The sequence below is a fragment of the Homo sapiens genome, chromosome 13 (genome assembly GCF_000001405.40).
Source record: "Homo sapiens chromosome 13, GRCh38.p14 Primary Assembly".
Taxonomy (NCBI): domain Eukaryota; kingdom Metazoa; phylum Chordata; class Mammalia; order Primates; family Hominidae; genus Homo; species Homo sapiens.
Genome location: NC_000013.11, coordinates 106,280,836 through 106,305,381, shown reverse-complemented (window position 1 = coordinate 106,305,381; position 24,546 = coordinate 106,280,836). Strand labels below are relative to the sequence as shown.

General features: G+C 39.2%; 1 long non-coding RNA gene across 1 annotated transcript in view; it reads left to right on the top strand.

The window, feature by feature from the left end:
- LOC107984626 (uncharacterized) overlaps positions 1-24,546 on the top strand; it is a 142,002-nt gene that overhangs the window by 68,603 nt on the left and 48,853 nt on the right. Inside the window, exon 2 of the long non-coding RNA XR_001750000.2 lies at positions 20,576-20,666. This is a non-coding gene — a long non-coding RNA (uncharacterized LOC107984626). The remainder of the gene's footprint in view (positions 1-20,575; positions 20,667-24,546) is intronic.

Sequence of the window (24,546 nt, the reverse complement as noted above, 5' to 3'; positions counted from 1 at the left end):
GTCTGGTTTCATATACATCCCATCCACTACTAACTCTCCTCATGCTATTTAGAAGCCAATCCCAAACATTAGCTCATTTCATCCTTCAATATTTAAAATGTTTCTCTAAAAGATAATAAAATAAAAAACAAAGCGCTATTACTCAGCTAAAGCAAATAACAACAATTTCTTAATGTCATCAAATATTTAAGGCTATTTCCATTTTTATATATGCCAATATATAGGGTTTTAAAAAAATTAAATCAGGATCTAAATAAACTCTATCCATTGCTGTTAGTCAACATGTCTTTAAGAGCCTTCCTCTTTTTTAAACTGAGAAATAATTACATACAATGAAATTAACAAATCTTGAATGTGTGATTTGGTTAGTTTTACAAATATATTCACCCTCCTAACCTACACCTGATCAAGATATAGAACCTTTCTTCAACCGAGAAAGTTCCCTTATTCATATCTGTCTCTTGCCTTCACAGGCAACTACTGCAGAAAATGGAAAAAAAAATCTTTCCAAAAAATTGAGATAGGAAAAACTCCATAAATTTATAGATAAACAGTGCCTCAACTCCTACTTCACAGAAACTTTCTAGGATTAGTGTCTGCATGGTGTGTTAGTCCCATGATTCCACTTTTAACCTGTGTCTTCATGTTAAAGTGTGTCTCTTACAGATAGAAAATGATTGGTTTTTGTGCATTCCACCTCCCTCCTCCACAGTCTGTGGGTCTTTGCCTTTCAGTTGAGTGTTTAGTTCCTTTACATTTAATGTAACTATTCATATAGTTGGATTTATGTCTATGTTGTGATTTACTTTCCAATTTTTCTATCTGTTTTTGGTTTTCTTGTTTCTTCTTTCTGCCTTCTTTTGGGCTAACTGAATATTTTTTAGCACTAATTGTTAATTCCTCTATTAATTTTTAAGCTATTTTTTAGTACTAAGTTATTTTTTAGTACTTGCTCTTGGGATTATAATATTTACATTTAATACAGTCTACCTAGAGTTAATATTGTAACATTTCCCCAAAAAACGTAAGTTTTTTTACAACTACAGAGTTTTATTTGTTTATTCCATAGTTCCCTTTGTTGTTTATTCTGTTGTCATATGTCTTGCACTGACATACATTAAAAGTGCACAGTGCAATGTTAATATTTTTGCTTTTAACAATCAGTTGTTCTGAAAGGAGTGGCGGCTTAAAAAACCAATTGTCTGTGGAAACAACTAAGAGAAAAAAGTAGTCTTTTATATTTACCCATATTATTTACATCTTTTGGTGTCTTCATTTTTTAGTGCAGATTCAAGTTTCCTCTGAGCCTGAAAGACTTCCTTTAGCAATTCAGGTTTCTTGGTGATACATTTTGCCAGATTATGTTTATCTGAAAATGTGTTTATTTTGTCCTCATTTTTAAGGATTTTTTTTTTCTGGATATAGAATTCTGAATTGATAAGTTTTCCCCAGTACCTTAAAGAGCCCATTTCACTATCTTCTGGCTTTTTTTTTTTTTTTCTGGATGAAAGTCAGTTGCCATTTGTATTATTATTCTTCCATTAGTTATGCATTGTTTTTCTCTGAGTGCTTTCAAAGAAAACTACACTGTTAGTTTGCTGTGGCTGCCATAACAAAATACCAGAGATTAGGTGTCTTAAACAATAGAAATTTTCTCACAATTTTGGAGGCTAGAAGTCAAAATCAAGGTGTCAGCAGGGTGAGTTTCTTCTTTTTTTAAAATTTGTATAAATATGTGGGGTACAAGTGCAATTTTGCTATATGCATAGATTGCATGGTGGTCAAGTCAGTGCTTTTAGGGTATCCATTACCCAAATTACATAAAATGTACCCATTAAGTAAGTTCTCATCATCCACACCCTCCACCTGCTCAGTCTTCTGAGGCTTCACCCTCTGTATCATTAGGGTGAGTTTTCTCTGAGGCCACTCTCCATGGCTTGCAGATGGCCATCTTGTGGTTGTGTTCTCACATCATTTTGCCTCTGTGCGTGCACGTGTCTGGTGTCTTTTTTGCGTAGAAATTCCTTCTTGTTTTAAGGACACCAGTCATAGTAGATTAGGGCTACCCTGCAGACCTCATTATACTTTAACTACCTCTTAAGATGCTCTATCTACAAATACAGTCACATTCTGGAGTACTGGAAAGTAGGACTTCAATATATAAATTTTAGAAGACAGCAGATACAGTTTAGCTCATAACACACACCTAGGCATATTTAGACAGGAGTCTTTGTGTTGTTTGCCTTTGTCACTATTAAGAATGCAAAAAACTCATGCCAATAAGAAATGCTTATAAAACTTTTAAAAGAGCCACACAAATGTACTTTTGATTATGCAATGTCATCATAAAGGAATGAAGAATGAATAATTTAATATTTCACCCCAATCTGTTTCACTTACATAACACCAAACATCATTTTGTTTCAGATTTCTTTTTCTTTCCCTTTCTGTCTCCTCTTTCATATTTATACGTAGACCAAACGTCAAACTGACAGACTATATTTTTTCTTTTTTTTTGAGATGTTTTGACAATGAACATACAAGTCACCAAAACAGGCTCAAATATTAACATGAGACACTTTTCTCATTGTAATTGTGCTCAGCGATGGTATCAATGAGTGAGTAAATTTCTAATTATCCAGAAGCTTGACCGTGTGTATTCCAGGGGACTGCACTCTTACAGGAATGGGTGCTCTGTTCCTGTTCTAATGAGAACACTTGGACACAGGAAGGGGAACGTCACACACTGGGGCCTGTTGTGGGGTGGGGGAGGGGGGAGGGATAGCATTAGGAGATATACCTAATGTAAATGATGAGTTAATGGGTGCAGCACACCAACATGGCACATGTATGCATATGTAACAAACCTGAACGTTGTGCACATTTACCCTAGAACTTGAGGTATAATACAATAAAAAAAAAAAAAAAGAAAATCTTCTTCTGCATACTGAATAGGTCAGAAATAGGAAAAAAAAAAGTCTAAAATTTGTTTTCAGTATGACACAGTAGTAGACATTTAACTGGGTTTGTAAATTCTCTTTTTGAAATGCAATGGTCCTAGGAGGGTTAATCTCACTAGTAATTTACATCTTAAAACATCTACTCTAAAAAGACAGCTTTCCTCCAAAATACCTTACTGAGCACAATTGCCCTGAGCACAAAGGTTGAGGAAAAGGTGTTGCCAAGAACTGAGTCACTTGCAGGTTCTTGGAAGAAGGCAAGTGTGTGAGCACAATGTATTGGGCTTTGTGTATCCAGATGAAAATATGACGGTTCTGAGTATTTGGAGAAGCAAAGAAATGATTCAGGAAATACTTTTGCCCAGGATCCCACTGTATCTGAAAATCATATTTTGTGCCACTTTTATTTGAGACACACCAAATATCTGAATAATTGAATGAGCATTGGAGTTTCCATTGATATGTCTGGTTGTTTGGAGTTTCCTATTGTTCAGAAAGCACTATGGAAAAAGCACTATGGAAAGAAAACAAATAAAATATTTGATTCCTACTCTGCAGGAACTTCACCTCTGCTAAAAAAATGGAATCTGGGAAGTTTGTAGAAAGGTTTAACAAATTCAACTTTTTTTTTTTTTTTTTTTTTTTTTTTTTTTTGGCAGCATCTCACTCTGCAGCCCAGGCTGGAGTGTAGTGGCACAATCATGGCTCACTGCAGCCTCGAACTTCCTGGGTCAGGTGATCCTCCCACTTCAGCCTCCCGAGTAGCTGGGACCACAGATGTGTGCACCACCATGCCCAGCTAATTTTTTGTATTATTTTTTAGAGACGGGGCTTTGCCATGTTGCTCAGGCTGATCTCAAACTCCTGGGCTTAAGAGATCCTCTTGCCTCAGCCTCTCAAAGTGCTGGGACTACAGGTGTCAGCCACTGTGCCAGGCCACATTTATCAAGTTTTGATCTAGCTCCTTTTATGTGTAGTCGCTATTTTATACTCTGGAGGTGAATTGACAAATAGATAAACATTCCTACCTTTGCAACTCCTATTCTAGTGGGTGAGACAGATTATAAACAATAAATAACTAGAATACACAGCATGTTAGAAATTGTTATTTCTATTTAGTATGTTAAAAACTATGTACTATGGTAGGTGTTGTTAAGTGCTAACAACAGCGTAAGGGTAACAGGAATATGTGGTGAAGGTGAGATTGTGTTACTAAGCAGGAGTCATGAAGGGGCTCACTGAGGAAGTCTCACTGAAGCTAAGACTTGATGGAGGTGGGGGAACCAGTGGTATAGATTTGGAGTGAGTGTAAAGAGCAATCCAGGCAAAGGGAATATGCAAGAAAGAGCAAAGGTAGAAGTATGCCCTATCGCGATAGGACAAGCAAGTTGGCTGATGCTGTGGAGTTGGGTAAAGAGGGAGATAATTAAGAAGAGGTGATAGCAAGGTAATGGGGATAGACTGGGTGGGGCTTTGTAGGTCTTTGAAAATAATTTGGAGTATTCTCTGAATTAAATGAGAAACCACTGGGTGGTGTTAAGCAGAGGAATTACAGCAACGGTCACCAACCGCTTTTTGGCATCAGGTGCAGTTTCGTAGAAGACAATTTTTCCACTGACCCAGTTGTGGGGGTGATGGTTTCTGGAGGATTCAAGTGCATTATGTTTATTGTGCACTTTATTTCTATTATTGTTACACTGCAATATATAATGAAATAGTTATATAACTCACCATAATGTAGAGTCAGTGGGAGCCTTGAACTTGTTTTCCTGCAACTAGATGGTCCCATTTGGGGGCGATGGGAGACACTGACAGATCATCAGGCATGAGATTCTCATAAGGAGCATGCAACCTGGATCCTAGACCCCAACCTAGATCCACAGTTCCCAATAGGGTTTATGCTCCTATGAGAATCTAATGCCATGCTGATCTGACAGCAGGCAGAGCTCAGGTGGTAAATTCAAGCCATGGGGAGTGGCTGTAAATACAGATAAAGCTTCGTTGTCTCCCTGGCTGCTTACCTCCTGCTTGTGCGGCCAGGTTCCTAACTGGCCCTGGACTGTGACCCCGGGGCTTAGAGACCCCTGAATTACAGGATCTGACATGTTTATGAAGCTCTCACTGGCTGCCTCATGGGGAACAGAGGGTGAGGAGAAAAATGGCTGGAGGTAGGGAGACATTTGTTGAAGGCCATTGCACTAATCCCGGTCAGACTATGGCACCCAAGGATTGCGGCAATGAGAGAAAAGAGAAGTGGTTGCATTTGGATATACTTTCAAGGTGAATTCAACAGAATTTCATTTGGTTTTGGCTGTAAAGTAGGAAAGAAATTGTGTAGTCAGTGGTGATTCCAAGGAAGCTGAGGAGATGGAGTTACTGTAAATTGAGAGGGAATGTTCGGGGAAGCAGGACTGGAGGTCAAAATCGATGTCACATTAATTTTGTTTTTAATATCCATGTAAGAAGTGATTTGGAAACAATCTCAAAAGAACTAAAATTAAGGAAAATCTGGCCCTGTTTGGACAAGCAAACATGTCTGTGTTTGGGATATAGTGAGCTTTCTTTTGATGTATCTTGATCTGTGGTATTCTCTGTGTAAAACCTCAGAGTGACGCTAAGGCCTCTGTGGTCAGTTATGAAATATTTGCGCTTGTTGGATTTATTTATCCTAAGAAAACACAGAAACATATTGAATTGAAGGTTATCCATTTAGTGGTAATAACTCACGAACTGAAATTTTAAATTTCAGTATTTCAACACTTTATAATCTCTATGAGGTCACGGCAATCTGTTGAGTTCTGATAGATCTTTTAATATCTGCATTTATTTCTGTTTCAGGAATACCTCAGAGCCCTAATTTTGTGCCCAGTTCCTGTAACTCTTCTTATACTCTCCATCTGCTATCATCTTCCATTATCTGCTTCATGGCCTCTAATTTCCATCTTTACCATTCAGAAGATTATATATGCACATTTGATTTTCAGCCATTTCCAATCCTTTGGAAAAGTCAGGTTAAATTGAATAGAAAATTTGACAGCGCATCTAACATATATAATGAATAACAGGCTATTTGGGGTTTTTGTACGCTTATTATCATTATTTTGGTATGATTAAATTCTATTTTCAAATCACAGGCCAAACTGTACACTGAGGTAAATTTCTAATTGTGGAAATACCACATTCCCCGGGCTCCTCAGGATGTGGTGCTGGATGGGCAAAGGGACTCAGGTATGGGGAGCAAGAAAGAGGGGGTGGATTAGTTTTCTAGGGGCCGGCATAATGAATACTAGGGACTTGGTGGCTTTGATGATAGAAATTGACTTCTTCATCATCCCGGGCAGTAGAAGCCCAAGATCAAGGTGTCAGTGGGGTTGTTTGTCCTGAGGCCACTCTCCTTGGCTTGTGAATGGGCTCTTCCAGAGTTTTCACAAGGTGTCTTCTGTGTGTGTCTCTGTCCTTACCTCTTCTTATAAGAGCACCAGTCACACTGGATTCGGGTCCATGCATATGTCCTCATTTTAACTTAATTATCTCTGTAAATATCTTGTCTTCAAATGCAGTCACATTCACATGTTCTGTGGGGTTAGGACTTCAACATGTACATTTTGAGGGGACATAATTCAGCCCATAATACGGGGGAATAGGCTTGAAGCCTTTCACCTTCAGTGAAAAACAGCCCTCAGAAATGAAAGCCCACAGCTCCAAAGAGGAGCCCATGACTTTAGGATTGTCAGGACATGTCCCCCGCCCTCTCATGCCTTCTGACACCGATTCTGAAACCAGCAAGTCAGGGCACTTCAGTTCATTTTTGAGGGACCTCTTTTGTGTTTAGAGATCAGAAAGCATAAAAAAAATTCAGTAATAAATGAAACTAAGGGATTGATGACATTTTATTAATGCCAATAACAACAATTCATAATTGGTGAAAAATGTGTTTTATTTTGACAGTTTGGCATTACATATGTGATTCCTCCTTCAACATTAGCCCCACATACGTTGTCACTGTTTATACTTTCTCCACGATTCAAGTAATATGATATTTTTAAGGGTATAATGATATAATCTTAATTAAAAAACTACTTCCTAAAACAAAACATTTGTAAGAAGAATGGCATTTTTTACATTTCTGCACAACTTTGTGATGTTGGGCTTCATTTCAAGGCTGCTGAATTCCCACATGTGCTTCTTCAATTTATTGCAATGTGTTGCTTTGGTTGAAGTGGATGAAGAAAATCCAGCCTCACAAATGTGTAGTGGGAAGGAGTATTACAATGCCTTTCCTGGTATTTAGGGATTGTCCACTTTGATACTACACCAAAACTCAACAAGTGGCTGTTATAAAGATTAGTTACAATGTGGAATCTGAAACTATGCAAATGGACTTTTGGGGGAGTTACATCAAAATCCACTGGTCTAGCTTGTACTTTGAATGAAACTTTGACACAATTTTAAAGTAAAAGTTATTTTCCATGAAGAATACTAAGCTAGTACACTGCTTTTCCTTGAGACAACCATTGTATTTTGGTATGCAACAAAAGTACTGTGTGCACACTTTCCATTTTGCCATATGGAATATTAAAAAAGACATAAACAAGGGTTGAGATTTATAAAATTAATAGTTGTGTTACTCTATTAAGGCTACCTGAAAATGAAACTGGTGTTTTTCTTCTATTGCAAATGCATGCTGGTGAGGAATGCCATGTCTACTAGCACTCTACCTACAGGTGGGTCCCACTGGCTTAATTCAGGCCAAGATGTTAGCAGTTTTATCCACCATTGGTTTTGGTTCATCAGAGCAAACACCAACATAATGTGTATTGCATTGCTATAAAGAAATTTATGAAGTAAAGAGGTTTAATTGGCTCACAGTTCTGTAGGCTGTACAGGAAGCGTGGCAGCATCTGCTTGGCTTCAATCATGGCAGAAGGCAAAGGGCAAGCTGGCACTCCTTACATAGCTGGAGCAGGAGGAAGAGAGAGAGAAGGGAAGTGCTACACACTTATAAACAACCACACCTTGTGGGAACTCTATCATGAGAACCTCAGTAGGAGGATGGTGCTAAACCATTAGAAACTGTCCTCCATGATCCAATCACCTCCCACCAGACCCCACCTCCAACAATGGGGATTACAATTCAACATGAGATTTGGGTGGGGACACAGATCCAAACCACAGCATAATGGAAAAGGGAAATGATATCTTAGTATTATTATGAAGACAGTTTTATCTCCCAGCTCCTCTGAAAGCATTCCCTGAAAGATGTCCAGGGATCACACTGATTTCTGTAATACTGTTTTACATCAGGCTTGATATGTGCAAGGTAAGTGTTGTGCATAGATCACATTATCGAACCTTCAAGACAAACCTAGAGTCTTCTGCTTTTATTACTTTGCAGATGAGGAATCTCAGGCATAGAGAGGCTGAGCCACTTATTCAAGATTGCATGGCTCATAAATGTAACATGTGCACCTGGGATTGGAGCCAGCCCTCTGGTTTCAGTGCATGTGGTTTGCGTCTACACTGTCCTTATCTGCCTTTTGCTTATCTCCCATCAACTAATATCAGCTTATGTTTAATTATAATGATACATTCCCTCTCTCAAACATTATTTAAAATGACACCTCTTTTCAAAGAAATGAGAATACTGTATTCACAGTGTAGCTTTTAAATTGTGTCCGGGTTTTCTAACCACAATTATTAAGTTTTGCTCTTTTTAATACCTAGTTAACCATGCTCTTTGTATTAATATATTTAGAGAGAACATGTGTTGAACCATTTGCTTTATGGCAAACTACATTTAAATGTATTTGTAAACAGATCACACAAACCCATGAAGAGAAAATTTGGAATTCCACATTCCATGTGGAATGAAAACATTTCATTTGGATGTAAAACAAAAATAAAGGGAACAAGGATACTGGTGGAAGGCCTGGGTTGTAGCACTCCCTCAGCAGAGAGTTCTCAGCAGTAAAGGTGACTACCTTGACATGGTCTTTTAATTACACATTTCTGTTTTTTTAAGGCTTAAAGATTTTATTTTATTTTTCCCCTTTGGCAGTGGACAGTTACTGAAATCAAAGTGCCCAACCCAAGATCAGGAGTATTAGAAGTTCTTCCTCCTTAAACCGTTGACTCGGGGGAAGGAAGACTGGGCTGTGGGAGGTTTTCATTGCTTCCTTCCTCTAAGGAGCATCAACAAGGGTGCCCACTAATCCTCCAGCCCTGCAGCCTAATGCGTCTTGTGACTGCCGGGCCAGCTTAGGAGGATTGAGCGATGGGGCTCTAGGCTGCCTGGACTCTCGGGAATAATAGCTGCAAATCCTCCTCCAGCGAACTCAGCTTTCATACAGCCTTTAAAAATCTCATTGCATCTTCACTGCCATGCAGGAGTCCTGTGCTGAGAGACACCTTCATTTTAAGGACTCAGGTTATCCCTTTAAGTCAGTTACTAAATCCTGCTGCCTGGCGCTCTGAGTTTCTCAACTTACAGTGAGGACATTCCCTGGAGCTCCTTTGCCCACAAAGGATCTCCTCCCTGAATCTCTGCAGAGGAGATTCAGCTGAAATACTACCCTTGGGCAGGCAGCATGGAAGCAGATGGGTGGTGTGGCCCCATTTTCCACCTGGCTCTCTTCTGTACACTCTCTTCACTGCTGCTGTGCCCTGCAACCCAATGACTACTGCACTCAAGCATGGCCCTGACTCCAGTGAACCCTGAGGTCTGACTGCTGGGTCTTCACCTTGATGGTGCCGGGAGCAGCCATCATCTCCTTGACTCCCAGCTGCGTCACCCACTCTGTCAATATGGATTATGGTGCTGATGTGTATATAGCTTTTCTCCTGTCTCATTTTTTTATTTGACTATCCCCTCTTGCTGCTAACCATCCACCAGTGTGACACTTAGCAAAATAAAATATGGCAGCATTTTCTGTTAGAAAGCCCGAGGGTATAATGCTAGTGATTCTAATGTCAGTGATACTGATTTTGGTAGAGACAGAAAACACTTTTACCCTTTCCAGTTCTTCTGAGATAAGCATATAGCGGGATGTGTCTGTTCTCACTTTAGGTACACACATACACACACATGTGCACACACACACGCATATCACTTGTTCTATCATTATTGGTAATTATAACTCATCATATCCAATAGAATTTTAACTTGTGATCCAACATAGTTCCTTATATCTTAAGGACAAAAAATGAAATAAATTGAATAAGGAAAACAAAAGACCTCTGATCAAAAAGCGTTGATTGATATTGGCATTCTAAATAAGCAAATGAACTTATATAGAAACATGATGGATCTTATCTTCATTTAATCAGGAATCCTTTCAATCTAGTTTTCCTTTATGACACAAATTCATTTTTTAATTTTATGAGATGTCAAACTTCCTCGAGTGGTGGGAGAAATAGCTAGAAGGTTTTGAGTAAAAGATTTCGGGCCATGATTGACACAGTGCAGTGAGGGCATGCGCTTTCCTGACAAGCTGTAAATTCGGCAGTGAGTTACAGTATACAGGTGCTCCTTAGAAAGGCTCTGACTAGATAATTCGTGAACATCAGTCTATATATCAATGGTGGGAGCTTGCAAATGGCCTCGGTATTGGATGCAGGAGCATCTTTTCTTTGAGGAGATGTGTGTGTGGTTGTGACAATGAATTATAGCAGCCAATGGGAGGGAGGATTATGGATTATGCAGATGAAAAGTGCAAACATCACTCAAACCAGCTTTGACAGAGCCTTCTAATCAAGATTCCACTTCCTGGCCCTGGTGGATTAAGCTTTTAAAAAAGTGCTTGAAGTTCCATTGAGAAGCAAGTCACATCTTTATAAATAAACCTTGACAACAAAGGTGCTTCAAAATATATGTTCTTCAAATTTAACAATGTAAATCACCAGAGAAATATCTCTCTGTGGACTGCAGTGTCCTGTCTGAATGCTGTCTTCTTTTTGTTGATAAGAACTTGTTCTGTTTTATTTTCTTGTTAAATTTAATATTTCTTGCCTTACCAGGATTTGAAATAAGACTGGGTTTCACATCAAAGAAAGGTGGGGGAGTGGGGCAAGTGGCTTTCTTAATAATATGATTCTAAAAATATTTTCAATAACTTTTTATTTTAACCATTCATATGACAATCTAGTCAAGGTTCTTCCCCCACCTCCCCAAGGTACTTAATTGTATTGTTTATTTCTGTCAATTCTTTGGGGTTTGAATTGGAACCTTTAAAGACATAGTCTATTTTCTCAGATTCTTATGCTGTATGTGAAAACTTGTGACTATTTCTTTGTTATTTTCTTTTCATAATTGGTTTTATTTTCCTGGAATCATATCTAATGACTTTATAACAAGAAAAGAAGATATATGTTAATAAAAAAAGAAAAATTCCAAGGCTGAGTGAGGTGGCATTTGCCTGTAGTCCCAGCTACTAGGGAGGCTAAGGTAGGAGGATCCCTCAAGTCAAGGAGTTGGAGAGCGCAGTGAGATATGATTGCATCTGTAAATAGCTGCCACACCCCAGCCTGGGCAACATATTCTGACTTCATCTTTAAAAAAAAAAAATTTCCAAAGACATAGTATTAGCTGAATTCCCCTTCCTGCTCCCAAGAGGCATACAACATCAGATTTTTTCCAAGCAGTATATACATCTCCGTATGATACATTAACATACAGTGTAGAGGCAATTAATATTTTGTTTTTTCTTGTTTTTGTTTGTTTGTTTGTTTTGTTTTGTTTTTTTCTTAAATAAAAGCCATATCATTAAGCTGAGTTACTTTTGAAAGGCTAATTAAATGCAGGCAAATAACTAACAAATTAAATGGAAGTTTCCATTATTAAATAACAAGAAAGAAAATATAGTAAACTGTTAATGTATTAGAAAAAGTCATTTCTATATAGCTGATTAGTTGCATCATTTTAGAATAAAATCATAAAGAAAAAGAAAAAATGATACACGGCAAAATCGAACTGTTCAAAATGTACTTAGTAATTTTTATTTCTCTCTTGCATTTTTATATTAAGAAAACACAATGTGGCTCGTAAATGTATTTGCTCTCTCTGTATGCATTACGCTTTGTATAAAACAAGTCTAAAAAATAAATGAGGAATATTTAACATGAAACTTTAAATATACCTGGGAACTTCATTTAGGAGGTTTGTCATACTCTGTTATCAATTTTCTCTGAGCATTTATTAAAGAATATCTTTTGTTTTAATTTGACCCAGTCAAAGCAGTTTAGAGACATTTACAGTGATGAGGAGGGAGCTTCAATTAACTTTTCATTGCTGAGATATTTTATGTGCATGTATTATAATGCAACAGGGCAATTACCTAATACCTTTTGTGAAAGAATTCTAATAAAGAAAGAAATTGATTTATACATAATAAAATTCAAGCTGTTCATTTTATTTCTCATCTAATTTTTATTATTATAATAGTTGTAAACTCTTATTTTGAGACCAGTGGAAAAAGTTTCTAACTTACATATAATATTGAAAAAATTTCATTATTATAATTTATTTTAAAGTGAATTTATAGACAAGCTACGGTTAAAAATTACATACTCTTCAAAGATATTATATACAGTGTGGTGCTGAGCTCTATTTTATTTTCTAAAGAGATTAGATGAAAGGTTTTAAAGTTGATTTATATATGTCTAATTCTAAATACTATGGAATCAATGGGAAGATATTTTCTGGACTTTTCTGTTTACTAAATATTAATTTTTAATCTGCCATTTTAAATTATAATCAATGAGCTGCTTTTGGTTTAGTAGGAAATACGTATTTCTTCCTGAAAGTAACTGATGAAAAAATAAAGTGAATGCTTTTATAATTTACCTGAAAGTTTGGAAACCTCAAAAGTTTTTTTGAATTTATGAGAAGTTAAAGTTACTCTCAAGCTGTTCTTCCTTTTCTTCTCTGGCTCAGTGAAGAGCCAATTAATGTCAGCAGTGTTGGCTGTATTTGCAACACGGACCGTTGTCTTCTTGGAGCCAAGGTGAAGTGAAGGCTACTTTGAGTCAAGACTGTGAAAGAAAAGAGATTTGAACATATTTGCTCTTTCCTCGTAGATTTGTTTCTATCTCCACCTCCTCAAGCTTCAAGGAAGGTGTGAAGACAAAGTATATTGTTTATACCGGATACTTTAGAGCAAGCAAGGGAAGCTGAAAATAGCAGCTTAAAAATTTGTGACAGTTTTCCCTTAATGAAAGATATTTAAAAATAAAATTTCTTCATCAGATTTTTATCTTCCCCCTGTTAATTAAGGCAGAATAATTAGTCTTTGTGTTAATTTAATGCTAACAAATCACAATATGAACATGCATGCACACACACACATTCCACACCTAAAATATATAATCGAAAGATATAAAAATCTATTTTAATAATTATAATAATGAAAAAATATTATTTTTCAACAAAACTTCTGTTTCCTAAGCGCTTATATATAATCAACATATACGATGTTATATTTATATAACATGTATATGTTTTCATTTGGCAATTCGGCCATTGTATGAGTAAAACCTTAATGGGAGATTCTAAAAATAATGCTTGGAGTAAAATTAACACCTGGTTAAGGTTTTTCCACCCTATCTTTTCACGTTGGCACTACAGCTAAGAATCTGCATGGACTAGAAGCAAAAGAACGGAATGCTGTAACTTGTAGTATAATGATCAATAGCAAAGAAAGTGGGCATTGGTGCTGCCGAAGGTGGCAGAGAAAGCCCCTTCAAAGGCATCAGAGGGGACTTCCTCTCATTGTGGCTCCCCTGGGAGACCACCAAACACCATCGTACTGATTCTTTCTTTTTCTCTCCCTCCTCACCTAAAATACCCCTCTCTTTTTCTGTCTTCTGGATACCAAGTTTTTGTTTTTCTTCTTCCCTCTCTGGACACTCTTTTTCTGTCCCTTTCATTAGTTCCAATTCCATTGTTCATCTCTGGAATGCTGGGAGTTATTAGCTATTTTTCTGAGGGTTCTTCCATTACCCAGCTATCCTTTCTCCATGGACAATTCATTTGCTTCCATGAATATCTGTAGGCAAACAACACCCAGCTCTAAACCTTCAGTCCAGACCTTTTGTCTGAGTTCCAGGCTCTTGTGCTTGAGAGTGAGCTGAACATCTTCACTTGGCTGTGTCCCTGAATGTGTCATTCTTGATCCTTTTCACCTCCCCTTCTCTCACATAGTGTTGCTCACCACTTCCTGTTGGTTTTCTTTCCTAAACAATTCTTGAATCCATTCCTGAGTTTTTATTCCCCTAGATTAGCTGTCAGTAAACCCTGACCTGAAGATCAGGTCTGACCTGCCGGGCACCTGTTTTTGTGAATAAAGTCTCACTGTAACATGGCCCCATCCATTTGTTTACATATTGCCTATTGCTGTTTTCTTTCTTTCTTTCCTTCTTTTCTTTCCTTTCTTTCCCTCTCTCCCTCTTTTCCTTCCTTTCCTTCCTTTCCTCCCTCCTTTCCCTCCCTCCCTTCCTTCCCTTCCTTCCCTTCCCTTCTCCTTCCTTCCTTCCTTCCTTCCTTCCTTCCTTCCTTCCTTCCTTCCTTCCTCTCTCTTTCTCTCTTTTCCTTCCTTCCTTCCTTTCTTCCCTTCTTTCTCACTCTGTTGCCCAAGATAGCCTCGGCTCATTGCAATCTCTGCCTCCCGGGGTCAAGTGATTGTTCTGCCTCAGCCTCCCTAGTGGTTAGGATTACAGGTGCCCGCCACCACGCCAGGATAATTTTTGTATTTTTAGTAGAGACGGGGTTTTGCCATGTTGGCCAGGATGGTCTTAAACTCCTGGCCTCAAGTGATCCACCCACTTTGGCTTTTCAGTGTTGGGTTTACAGGCATGAGCCACTGCACCTGGCCCTATTGCTGTTTTATTGCTACAACCACTGAGCTGAATTTTGGTGACAGAGAACATGTGGCTCACAGAGCCTTAAATACTTACTCTCTTGCCTTTTAAAGAAAATCAGGCTTGCTGCATTCTGATATGGAGAATGCGCACACACAGGGTCACTACAGGGACTCACCTTAGTGATTTCAACGCACTCCTAGAGACTCCCTGCTTACCTTCCCAAATTCAGTTCTCCACAATATGAAGAGAGTCATTATATCTAATTCTCACCATGTCACTCATTAGCCCTTCAATGACTCCCCCTTGCCTTTGGGATAAATATCCAGACTTCTCAACATGGTCCACAGACCCTTGCAGGAGCTAGTTCTTGCCTTGCTTCTTGCACACCTCACTGTTCCAACTGCATCAGACCGCTTACCTCTGGACTACAGCACATATTTCTTTGCTCCAACATAGCCCCTGGATCAGATATCATGCCTCTAGAAACCTCCCATGACCACCAAAATCTGAGATAGGGGCTTCTCTTCTGTGCTTGGACAGCTCTGTGTGGCTCCTTCAGTAGGTCCTTCACTCTGAATGGAAAATGCCTGCTTGCCCCTTGCGATGGTTTATTTAACGTGTCAGCTTGGTTAGGCACTTGGTTAAACACAGATACTTGGTTAAACACCAGTCTAGATGTTGCTGTGAAGGTATTTTTCAGATGAGATTTACATTGAAATCAGTAAACTTTGAGTAAAGCAGCTTACCCTCCCCATTTTGTATGTGTGTGTGCCTCATCCACTCAGCTGAATGCCTTCAGAGGAAATAGGCTGGCCTCCCCTGAGGAAGAGGGAATTCTGTCTCCAGATTGTTTTGAAACTACAATGGCAACATCAACTCTTCCCTAGGTCTTCAGCTTGCCAACTTACCCTGCAGCTTGTAGACTTACCAGTCTCTAGAATCATATAAGTCCATTTCTTAATATCTATTTCTCTCACTCACTCTCTCCATCCTATTGCTTCTGATTCTCTGGAAAACCTTCACTAATGCACCTCTAAGCATGTAGAGTGTATACTTCATGCAGGTAGGAGCATGTCTGTCTTGCTCATTACTAAAGCATGCAAAGCTACCATGGTGCGTAGAATATAGTAAATCCATTTATTATAGGAACATAGTAACAGAAAACATATGGGAGAGAAGGAAAATGGATACAACGAGGAAAAATGGATCTATATGTAATCTCAGGGCCACTCAAGACAGTTCTCTGTGGAGGCAAACTGGGGTCCCTGAATGGACTGCAGATCCCTGGTGAGAGAGGAGCTCCACCAACACCATTTCTCAGGACACAGTGTGAGCGTTGGGGCCATGACAGTGAGGAACTATGAATGAAAATCTTTCTACCTCTCAAAATATCACGAATGAGAGGAACAGACCTATAAGATGTGGATTTTGCTCACCGCGCACACTAATGTGCACAGCGAGGTGTAGGTTTTTTAAAAAAATATAGATGGGGTCTTGCTATGTTGCCCAGGCCTTGATCAGCCATAAACACCTGGCCTCAAGCAATCCTTCTGCCTCAGTCTTCCAAAGTACTGGGATTACTGGCATGAGTCACCACGCCTGGATGTGATGGAGTGTTTTATTGTTGCAGTTATTGTTATTAGTAAACATGATTGCTCTAACACCATGGTAGGAACATTTGTTTGGCAGATCAACTACTCTCAGAAACGTTAGTGAGGGGCTCTCCCAACAACGGCCATATTCCAAGAAGCTGATCACCTGGAGAACTGGATTAAACACACTGACACTATGTTAAATTCACATGGTGCCATCGTAGTTGTAATTGTAATTTCCATCATGGAGTGGAAGGGACATATGTTAATAGGGACACTATATTAAACTTAACATATTCACAGTTTCCTTGTCCATAACATATTCACATACTGTGCCTTCTACTCCATGATGGAAATTACAATGAGCATGTGGTCTCTAAAAACAGCTCCCAATTTATACACATTTTTCTGTTTATTTGTTTTTCCATATCTGCTCAAATCTGATCTGTCCAGGTCCTCTTAATAGCTATTTTCCACCCAAGAATTTAACCAGGGGATTCCCCGTAAGAGGCGCATTCTCTGGGGCTCCATTGTCCTAAAGATCATTCTTTCAGACTCTTGCTCATCTGATTTAACCACTTACTTAATTTAATAAACACTTATGCATGGTATTTATTATGTACCAGGCATCATTCCAAGTAGTTTACTAAAGATTAATCAATAGTATTTATTACTTAGCAACACCACTAGATAAACACCATGATTATTCACATATAAAAGAGAAAAGTGAGGCACATAAAAGTCGGGTAACTGGCCCAGATTTCTGCAGCCAGTAAACGGGAGAAGCTACATTCATCCCATGGCTGGGAGCCAGAGACCAGGCTCTAAGGAAGCCCCCTAGGCTGTGTCTTTGTCATTTGGCTTCAGCTCTGTGCCTTCTTCCAGCTAAATTGCAGCAAATCACCCTTCTAGCTTTGCCTGTGCTGGACTCTATGGGCCTTTGTGGCATGTCCAGTAGCCTTAGGCCAAGTCATCTCATTTCTAGGCCTTTCCATTTAGACCTAGTTCTGGCTCTCCTACTTGGCTCACTGGTCAACCCAACCAGCTGGCCATAGTCCAAGATAGGGAGAATGGTCCTGCAGGTAGTACTCAGCCATGTCAAAGAAAGTAAGTTATTCTCAAGAAAGACAGCGGGACATGTGATGAAGGAAAATCACCAGAACTTACGTTGAATATATCGAGTCAAATCAGGAATGAAATGGGGTTCATTTGGAAGTTGAAGTATTTGACAAATCAGGCTGAACAATCACTTTCACATCTAAGAAAGAGAGACGGAGCCAGGATATCTCTGTTAATGGGTGTTTAATGTCACAAAGACAGAAAAAAAATCTCAGCTGCTGTAGTGACCCAATGACCATCAGTGTCCTGCCAGGCTCATGACTCAGACCCACTGAGGGACCCTGACCGCCTTCCTTTCCCCCCGGCGCTGCCAGCAAATCTGTGGCTGCTCGGCCTCCATGACTCCTGGATCCTTCCCACCCTCCCTACCTCCTGCTTTCCGTTTCCTGATGTCTTCCTCTCTCCCAGGCTTCAAATGAAATGTTAAATTGGCTTCTGTTAGGGGAATGAGACTCTGAGTTACTCAATTTTTTCTACTTCTCTCAACATTCTACACTTTATTAGGGGAACATACATTCTATTTTATAATTACAGAACCACTGGAACATGGCAGGGGCAGTTCAGTGAGCTATACGCTTATTCTTTGCATCAGGCTGTGTACATGACCATTCCCAAATATTTTCAGAAGGAATTCTAGATTATAGATTTCATTGCTAATACTTGGAACTGAAAGAAGTGGAATCTGACCAGCTTCACCAGGTTGAACCTTGTTTATCTCCCCTGTCCTGAGCGTTAACTATCTTTCCTCCAGGTTTCTAGGCTTCCCTTGAGAGAGCCTGGAGGAGGGGCTCTCTGACCCTGAGACAAAACCCATTGCAGCAGTGCTTTGTGCAGACAGCAACGTTGCAAACTCAGTGCTGTGGTGAAATGAGGTGGCTCTGAAGAACTCCACTGTTTGTTTCAGTTTCTCCTGCTGCTTTCAAGGATCCACAGTCTTCTTAGACTTTATAGCGAAAGAGTGCTGCAGGCAACATACTGTTTTTTTTTTTTAATATCAAAGAGTCTGCCCACAGAAACATTTTCATGCACTTTACATTTTTTTTCTTAAAATCAATACCGGGATGTGTGATGTATTTATTGGTTTGCTTGCTCTGTGTGTGTCTTACTAAAATGAGAATGAGGTCTTTGTTCACTATTGTGTGCCTGGCACATAGTAAGTGTCAATAAACATGCGTGTGTTTGGTGGGGGGAATTAGCAAATGAGTATAGATAGGCATCAAATCAGCACACATTCTCAATGAAGTAGTATCAGTTCTTGGGAGGGGAAAATCTTCTGTTGATGTAGAAAGTACAGATATACATGCAGTAAATAAATACACAGCATATCTGTGGCATTAACACTTCATGGTGGAAAATGATTAGGAAAAAATATCTGAAATGGCTCCTTAGGTCGGCAGGGGGGTGGGCGGCGATCATGAAAAAACGGTTGAGAAAAACATTGAAATAGAAATTGAGATGAATGTATTCTAATAGCTTTCTTTTCTTGTTAATCTGCATATGCATTCATACCATATACAGTCTTATTGTGGCAGTAAGAACTTGACTGCAATTTTTGCCAAAGTTTGGAACTTTATATTTTCTTTAAATGTGGAGAAGTAATTTTCATTTCAAGGACAAATTAATTATAGACCTGCTATAATTTTCAGGGAGGAATTTTATTTTTCTAGTAAAGCTCTGGCATGAATTATACATAGCGATATCATGATTTTAAAGTGTAACTTAAAAGGATGAAAGAGGGGTGTTCTGGTGGCTTCTCTTTCCCTTATGTATCTCTCTCATGTATCACATTCCTTTTAAGCACAATATTCTGAATATCATTCACTGTTTTCTATCGCAACCTGCAATTTGAGAGTTAAGAAAACATCCTGTTAATTAATTTCCGAAGCACCTCTTATCAGTACGCAGGCAAACTGTCAAGCTTATTTTAAAGAAATATTTTTGTTTCAGCTATTAGTCACTTCATTGATTTCCAAGTGTATCTTAGGGAATGGTGGAGTATGATAACTCTAGTTCTGGTAGATATCTAAGAGGCAAGAAAGTGGATTAGGCAAAAGTGATGAATAAAAAAGGAGAAGACAAGTTGTATGATTCTAATTTCATATGTGCACAGAGAAAGAATAGGCTTTCAAGATAGAAATGTAATGCAAATTAAGTAATGTCATAGAAAATAGGTGCTAGTAGCTTTCTGGAGTCTATAATTTATTTAGAGTGCAGTGTCCAAACGTGTGTCTGTGTGTGTGTGTGTGTGTGTGTGTGTGTACACAGGCATGCATACAATCAAAAGCCTAAGAAGACTTCTCAAGTATCGATAACTCATAAACAGGTGATCTGGCGGTGGGAATATCGTTCTTGCAATATGCTCTGGCTTATTGATAGCTTCTACTTTTCGTAAGTGGGGTAGTAGAATAATCACTCCCCAGAGATACTCAGGCTGTACTCCCTGGAATGTGTAAATATGTCAGGTTACAAGGCCAGGGGACATGTAGATTGTAGATGCCATTAAGCATGTTAATCAGCTGATCAAGAGGATAATCTTATCCCAGCATATCTTGGATTACTCAAGTGGGCCCAATGTAACTACAAGGTCCTTATCAGTGAAAGAGGGAGTAGGAAGAAAGAATCAGAAGAAAGCTGGAGCTTAGTCATCCGGTGGTAACACCAATAGAGCCAATAATCACAATAAGGAGATGGGAAGATGCGGCTGGCCATGCTGCCCTAAGGATGGAAGGGGCCTTGAAGCAAGGAATATGGGCAGCCTCCACAAGCAGGACAGGCAGGAAAACAAATTCTTCCCTAGGTCCTCCAGAAAGGAATGCAGCCCTGCCAACTCCTTGCTTCTAGCTCAGCGAGAGCTGTGCTAACCTACATGGTTTTCTCAGTTATTCTTCCCACAAGTACATGAGGCAAGAATTATGATGTCTACTTTACAAATGTGGAAACTGAGACAGAGATTTTAAGTTGCTTGTCCAAATACTCAGAGCTGGTGTCAGTGCCACACTTCAACTCATGTGTGTCTGACTTGTGGAATCTGCCCTCTTTCGTCTGTAGGGCAAGCTTTCTTAGATGAAGAAGCCAGACACAGAAGACACCATTGGAAGTATTTGATACACACATGTCTTTCTTTGAGACCAGCTAACAGGTTTGTTGAGTTGTTTCTTTATTAATTTATTTTTCAATGCCAGTTTATATGGCACTTAAATAAAATAGTTGCTCAATACATGACTATCGAAAGAATGCAAATATAAATAAGTCAGTGAGTACATTCGGTTGCTTCTCCAAACAGAGATAAGATCATATAGCCAGGGGGTTCTCAAGAATCATAGAGAACAAAATGATTGGATCTATGAGTCACTAACTTTCTGAAATTTCCTGAGTTGTTCACTCATGTATGTTATGATATTTCTGAAATTTCTTGTGTTGTTCACTCATGTATGTTATGGTATTTCTGAAATGTCCTAAGTTGTTCACTCATGTATGCTATGATACTATATTTTAATGCTTCTGAGGGAGCTTTGACTACACACACGTGTGTGTGTCTCTCCTAGATTTTGAATTCCTTGAGGAACTGGACCACTTCTTCCTTATTCCTGGGTACCAAGTACCTCGTGTGCATAATATGAGGCACCTTTATAGCAGAGCCTTCAGAGGTATCTTTTGCTCTGAATAACACCAGAAAGAGCATCTAGTGGAAAGATGCTGTGTTGCTCTTGGAGTCAAAGGAAGGGCTGACCAACCAGGCCATGGGAAGCCAGCCAGAGCAGCTTGGAAATCTCACCACAAGGGCTCTTTGGCTCTTTTGATGCTACCACTGGATGGTGAAGCTCCAGCTTCCTCCTTGCTCCATGGTCTTTGCTCAGCATTCAAATTCCCAGGAGAACACAGCTGATGCAGCTTGGGTTACAAGCCACCTCTGGGACCATCGACTCTATCATGTGGAAGGTGGAAGACATAATTTTCAAAGGAAAGTGGGGATACCAGAAGAAAAGGCAAATAAGTCCTGGATAGACCAAAATTACAAATGTTCATTGGAGTATGGGAAACACAGGTTCAAATGTTACCTTTTCTATTCATTATTTGTGTAACTTTAATTTACTTGAGATTACTTTCTCCCACTCTAAAATGAAAATTATATTAGTTTCTTCCTTATAGTGTTGTTGTGAGAATTAAATGAGATAATAGAGGCAAATCTTGGAGGCACTGTGGGTTCAGTTCAAGACTACTGCAATAAAGGGAATATTGCAATAAAATGAGTCACACAACTTTTTTTGGTTTCCTAGTGCATGGAAAAGTTTGTTTTTACTATATGAGAGTCCATTAAGTGTGCAACAGCATTATGTCTAAAACCTCAATGTACATACCTTAACTAAACAATATTGCTAAACAACGCTAATAATCATCTGAGTCTTCAACAAGTCATAATCTTTTGGCTGGTAGAGGGTCTTGCCTCAATGTGATGGCTGCTGACTGATTGATGTGGTGTGTGCTGAAGGTTGGGGTGGCTGTGGCAATTTCTTAAAGTAAGAAAATAATGAAGTTTGCTGCATACATTGACTCTTCCTTTCACAAAAAATTTATCTGTAGCTTGCGATGCTGGTTGATAGCATTTTAGGCACATAGAACTTCTTTCAAAATTGGAGTCAGTCATCTCAAATCCTGCTGTTGCTTTATCAACTATTATACACTTGTGTAATAGAAATTCTTGGTTGTCATTTCAACAATGTCTACAGCGTTTAACCAGGAGTAGATTCTATCTCAAGAAACCCCTTTCTTCGTTCATCCACAAGGAGAAACATCTCATCCATTTATATTTGATCATGAGATTACAGCAGTTTAATCGCATCTTCAGGCTTCACTTCTGATTCTAGTTCTCTTGCTCTTTCTACCACATCGTCAGTGACTTCCTCCACTGCAGTCTTGAACTCCTAAAAGGCATCCATGAGTTGGAATAAACTCTCAAAATCCTGTTAATGTTGATATTTTTACCTTCTCCCATAAATCATGAATATTCTTAAGAATATCTAGAATGGTGAATCCTTTCCAGAAGGCTTCTAATGTACTTTGCCCAGCTTCGTCGGAGGAATCACTGTCCATGGCAGCTATAGCCTTATGAAATATGTTTCTTAAATAGGAAGACTTGAAAGCTGAAATTATTCCTTGATCCATGGGCTGCAGAATGGATGTTTTCTTGGCAGGTATGAAAACAACGTTAATCTCCATGTACATCTCCATCAGAGCTCTTGGGTGACTACGTGCATTGTCAACGAGCAGTGATATTTTAAAAGAAATCTGTTTCTTAGCAGTATGTCTCAACAGTAGGCTTAAAATATTCAGTAAAACATGCTGTAAACAGATATGCTGTCATCCAGGCTTTGTTGTTTCATTTCTAGAGCACAGGGGGAGTAGATTTAGCATAATTCTAAAGGGTCCTAAGATTTTTGAAATGTTCAGTGAGTGCCGGCTTTAACTTAAAGTCACCAGCTGTGGTAGCTCCTAATAAAAGGGTCAGCCTCTCCTTTGAAACTTTGAAGCCAGGCACTGATTTCTCCTCTCCAGCTATGACAGTGCTAGATGGCATTTTCTTCCAATATTAGGCTATTTCATCTACACTGAAAATCTGTTGTTTAGTGTGGCCACCTTCATCAGTGATCTTAGCTGGATCTGGATAACTTGCTGCAGCTTCTACATCAGCATTTGCTGCTTTACCTTGCAGTTATATATTGTGGAGATGACTTCTTTTCTTTTTTGAGATGGAGTTGCACTCTTGTTGCCCAGGTTGGAATGCAGTGGCACAATCTCGGCTCACTGCAACCTCTGCCTCCCAGGTTCAAGTGATTCTCCTGCCTCAGCCTCCCAAGTAGCTAGGATTACAGCCACCCGCCATCACGCCCCGCTAATGTGTTTTTTTTTTTATTTATTTATTTATTTATTTATTTTTTTATTTTGTATTTTTAGTAGAGATGGGGTTTCACCAAGTTGGCCGGCTGGTTTTGAACTCCTGACCTCAGGTGAGCCACCTGCCTTGGCCTCCCAAAGCACTGGGATTACGGGCGTGAGCCACTGTGCCCGGCCGCCTTCTTTTCTTAAAGCCTATTAACCTACCTCTGCTAGCTTCAGACTTTTTTCCTGCAGCTTCCTCACTTCTCTTAGCCTGCTTAGAAATGAAGAAAGTTAGAGCCTTGCTCTGGACTGGGCTTTGGCTTAAGGGAATGTGTAGCTGATATGATCTTTTATCTCGATCACTCAAACTTTCTCCATATCAGCAATCACGCTGTTTCACTTATCATTCATGTGATCCCTGGCATGACACTTTTAATTTCCTTCAAGAACTTTTTCTTTGCATTCACAACCTGGCTAACTGTTTGGCCCAAGAGGGCCAGCTTTCATTCCGCCTGGCTTTCGACGTATTTTCCTCACTAAGCTTAATTGTTTCTAGCTTTTGATTTAAAGTGACAGATGTACAACTCTTTCTTCCACCTGAACACTTAGAGGTGATTGTAGGGCTATTAATTCACCTAGTTTCAATATTATTTTGTCTCAGGGAATAGGGAGGCCTGAGGAGATGGGAGGAGGAGACAGGAACAGCCGGTTGTTGGAGCAGTCAGAACCCACACATTTATTAATGAAGTTTACTGTCTTATGTGGGTGTGGTTCATGGTACCCCAAAATGATTACAATAGGAACATCCAAGAACACTGATCACAGATCACTGTAGCAGATATGAGAATAATGAAAAAGTTCAAAATATTGTGAGAATTACCAAAATGTGACACAGAAAAACATAGTGAGCACATCCCTTTGGAAAAATGGCACCAATAGACGTGATGGACGCAGGACTGCCACAAACCTTCCATTTGTAAAAATGCAGTGTCTGTGAAGTGTGGTAAAGTGAAATTCAGTAGGACAAGGTCCCCGCATGCCTATGTCCTCGGCAAAATGCCTGACACTAAGTGTGTGAGCGATGGCATTTTTAAAAAGAGGAGCGTCATCAATTAAGGCGCAGGGAATCATGTCCTTGACGA